Genomic DNA, 2,792 nt, shown 5'->3' on the forward strand with positions numbered 1-2,792 from the left:
CCTTTAAAAACGGGAAGATCATGAGGGCACTGCCCTGATGAAGAGATAATGCTGTTATCCAGGGAATGGGTTAGTTATTGAGAGAGTTATCTAGGGTTCCTGATAGAAAGGATGTGTTCAGCCCACTTCCCTCTCGGTCTCACATGCTTTTCTACCATGTTCTGACACAGCAAGAAGACCCTCACCAGATGCCAAGCACCACACTCTTAGATTTCTCAGCCTCCAGAACCATAAGCCAAATAAACTTCTATTTTTATAAATAACCTAGTCTGTGGTATTGTTATAGCAGAAAAATGGACTGATATGGGGGGATGTGGTGGTCACATGTTTTTGTCTGCCTCCATTGATGGGCAGCAACCTTGTCTGTCTTATTAGCTATTATATTCCTATTGCTTAGCCTAATGTAGGCTCTTGGGACATTTTTGTTGAATAGATAGATGGATAGTTGGATGGGTAAGTGGATGGATAGATGGGTGGGTGGATGAATGGGTGGGTGGGTGGGTGGCTGGATGGGTAGATGAATGGGTAGATGGAGGAAATAAACAAGGTCTTCGGGGAGCTTACAGCCTAATGAGGAAAACAGACTCACACTAATGTCAGTGAGTTGCAGGCAGGGAGGGGGCTTAGTCCAATCTAGGGCATCAGAAAAGGCTTCCTTGAGGTGGTGGTGGCTGAACTGAGCCTTGAAAGATATGCGGAATTTGGAAGAATGGGATGGGAAAGACATTGCCAGCAGGGGCCATGTGGTTCAACTCCAGCATTGCTGGCAGCAGTCAGCATTCCCAGAGCCTAGAGGACAGAGCAGGAGCTGCTGGGGATGGGGCGAGGTCAGGAAAAGCCTTCCTTTGGAATGCATTTGGACTTGCTCCTGAGAGCAGTGGAGAGCACCTGAAAGGTGCATGGCTTGGGCAGATTTGGTTTTCAGATGGTCTGTTCTGCTTGCAGTGTGAAAAGGAGGGAATAGGAGCAAGCCTGGCTCAGGAGGTGGGGTGGCAGGGCAGGGTACCTCAGTGGTCCCCAAGGGAGAGCAGGGGAACTTGAAGTGGAGCGAGTGAGGAGAGGTGGCTGAGGAGTGCAAGGGGAGGCTGACGCTTAATTCTGGTCTTGCATAGTTCAGGGCCTCCTGAGGTTACTGACGCATTGCCCAGGTGTTCCCATGTGAGTGCAAAGCTGTGCTGAGCCTGAGAGGGGAAAGGTGGGCCCTGTGGTTTAGGTGTTGTTGGCATTGATGGTGGTTAAAGTCAGGAGACCAGATGATACCACCCCGAAAAGAGTGTTAACCTGGAAGAGCCAATTCTTGGAAAATTTCTGCATTTACAGGCTGAGCCAAAGAGAACCAATGGCCAGAAAGGCCCGGCCCCGCCTGAGTGGAGCAGGCCTATGGGTTTTATGGGACAGATCATTTTGACCATAGTGACAACACTGGAGCCCTCACAGTGTGCTGGGGACATTTGTGAGCACTCAGGTAGTTCTGATTCATCATACAAATCCAGTGAGGTAAGTGTTACTCGGATCTCCATTTTACAGATGAGTGAACTGAGGCACAGAGGGGCAAAACCAATAATTATCTGAGGTCACATGCTTCACATGACCAAAGGGCACTGGGGAGCCAAGGCCTTCTGCGTTTTTATTGGTTTTGGCAAGTTGCAAATCCCATGGAATGAATCAGAAGCTGAGAAGGGAAGGAAGGTGTTGGGGCTGTCTTGACAGAGGAAGAAATGTCAGGGAAGTGTTTGTTTTGTTTGTTTTTTGTTTTTTAACTCTTTTTTTGTGGAGAAGGGGCGGGATAAAGACAAGGTCTCACTGTGTTGCCCAGGCTGGTTTCAAACTCCTGGCCTCAATTGATCCTCCTGCCTTGACCTCCCAAAGTGTTAGGATTACATGTGTGAACCACTGCACCTGGTCCTGTTTTGGTTTTTTTCAAGAGTGATAGAATTGCTCAAAGGTTTAGAGAGCCTGTTCCGAGATTTTAGAGATACAGGCCGGAGGGGGCATGGGGGTGGGAGGACAAATGTGAGACAGGCCCTCCTCAAGGAGGCTGGGAGAGCACCAAAGGGAGGCAGGGCTGTTTCTGAATTGGAATGGTAGCGGATGACTCACTGACATGGAATACACAGAATAGGTGAACCCGCAGAGACAGGAAGCTGATTAGTGTTGCTGGGGGCAGGGGCATGGGGAGAATGCTTGATGGATCTGGGTTTTATTTGGTGGGGGGATGGTGATATAAATGTTTTGGAACTAGATAGAGGTGATGGTCACACAACATGATGAACATACTCAATGCCGCTAAGTTTGTTTACTGTTAAAGACTGATTCTGTGTTTTGTGGATTTTATTAATATCTCAATTTGAGAAAGCACTGGAGAGGGCAGAAGTGGGCAGGGAGTGAAGTGGGTTGTATCTCTGGCCCCTGCTTGCTGCCTATTTTGTAACAGGGAGCTTTGTTTTCATGATCTTCCCAACTCCTGACATGTTCTTGTTTCCTAGGATGTAGGATTCACTGTGAGCTGAAACCGCGCTCGGCGCATCCTGGATGCCTGGGAAGCGTTGGAATGAATGAAGGAATGGTTGAGTGGATGGATGAGGAACATCAGGCAGGCGCCTGGAAATAGAGGGGTGGAAGGGTGGTGCTGGGCTGGAATGGTTGGCTGAGGATAAAGGGAAATGGAGCTGGCTGAAGACAAGAAAAATCCTAGTTACTGTGTTAGAAGACCTGTGGAAGAGGAGGGTGTGCAGTAACCTGGTAACAATGTTTATGTGGTTACTGTGTATTCATTTAATCTTTCTGGTACT

The 2,792-nt window shown here is 48.4% G+C and overlaps 1 protein-coding gene across 12 annotated transcripts in view; it reads left to right on the top strand.

Moving 5' to 3' along the window:
* The window catches only part of MGAT5 (alpha-1,6-mannosylglycoprotein 6-beta-N-acetylglucosaminyltransferase), a 334,687-nt gene that overhangs the window by 21,080 nt on the left and 310,815 nt on the right, over positions 1-2,792 (top strand). The window lies entirely within an intron of this gene.

This window comes from Homo sapiens, chromosome 2 (assembly GCF_000001405.40).
Source record: "Homo sapiens chromosome 2, GRCh38.p14 Primary Assembly".
NCBI lineage: Eukaryota > Metazoa > Chordata > Mammalia > Primates > Hominidae > Homo > Homo sapiens.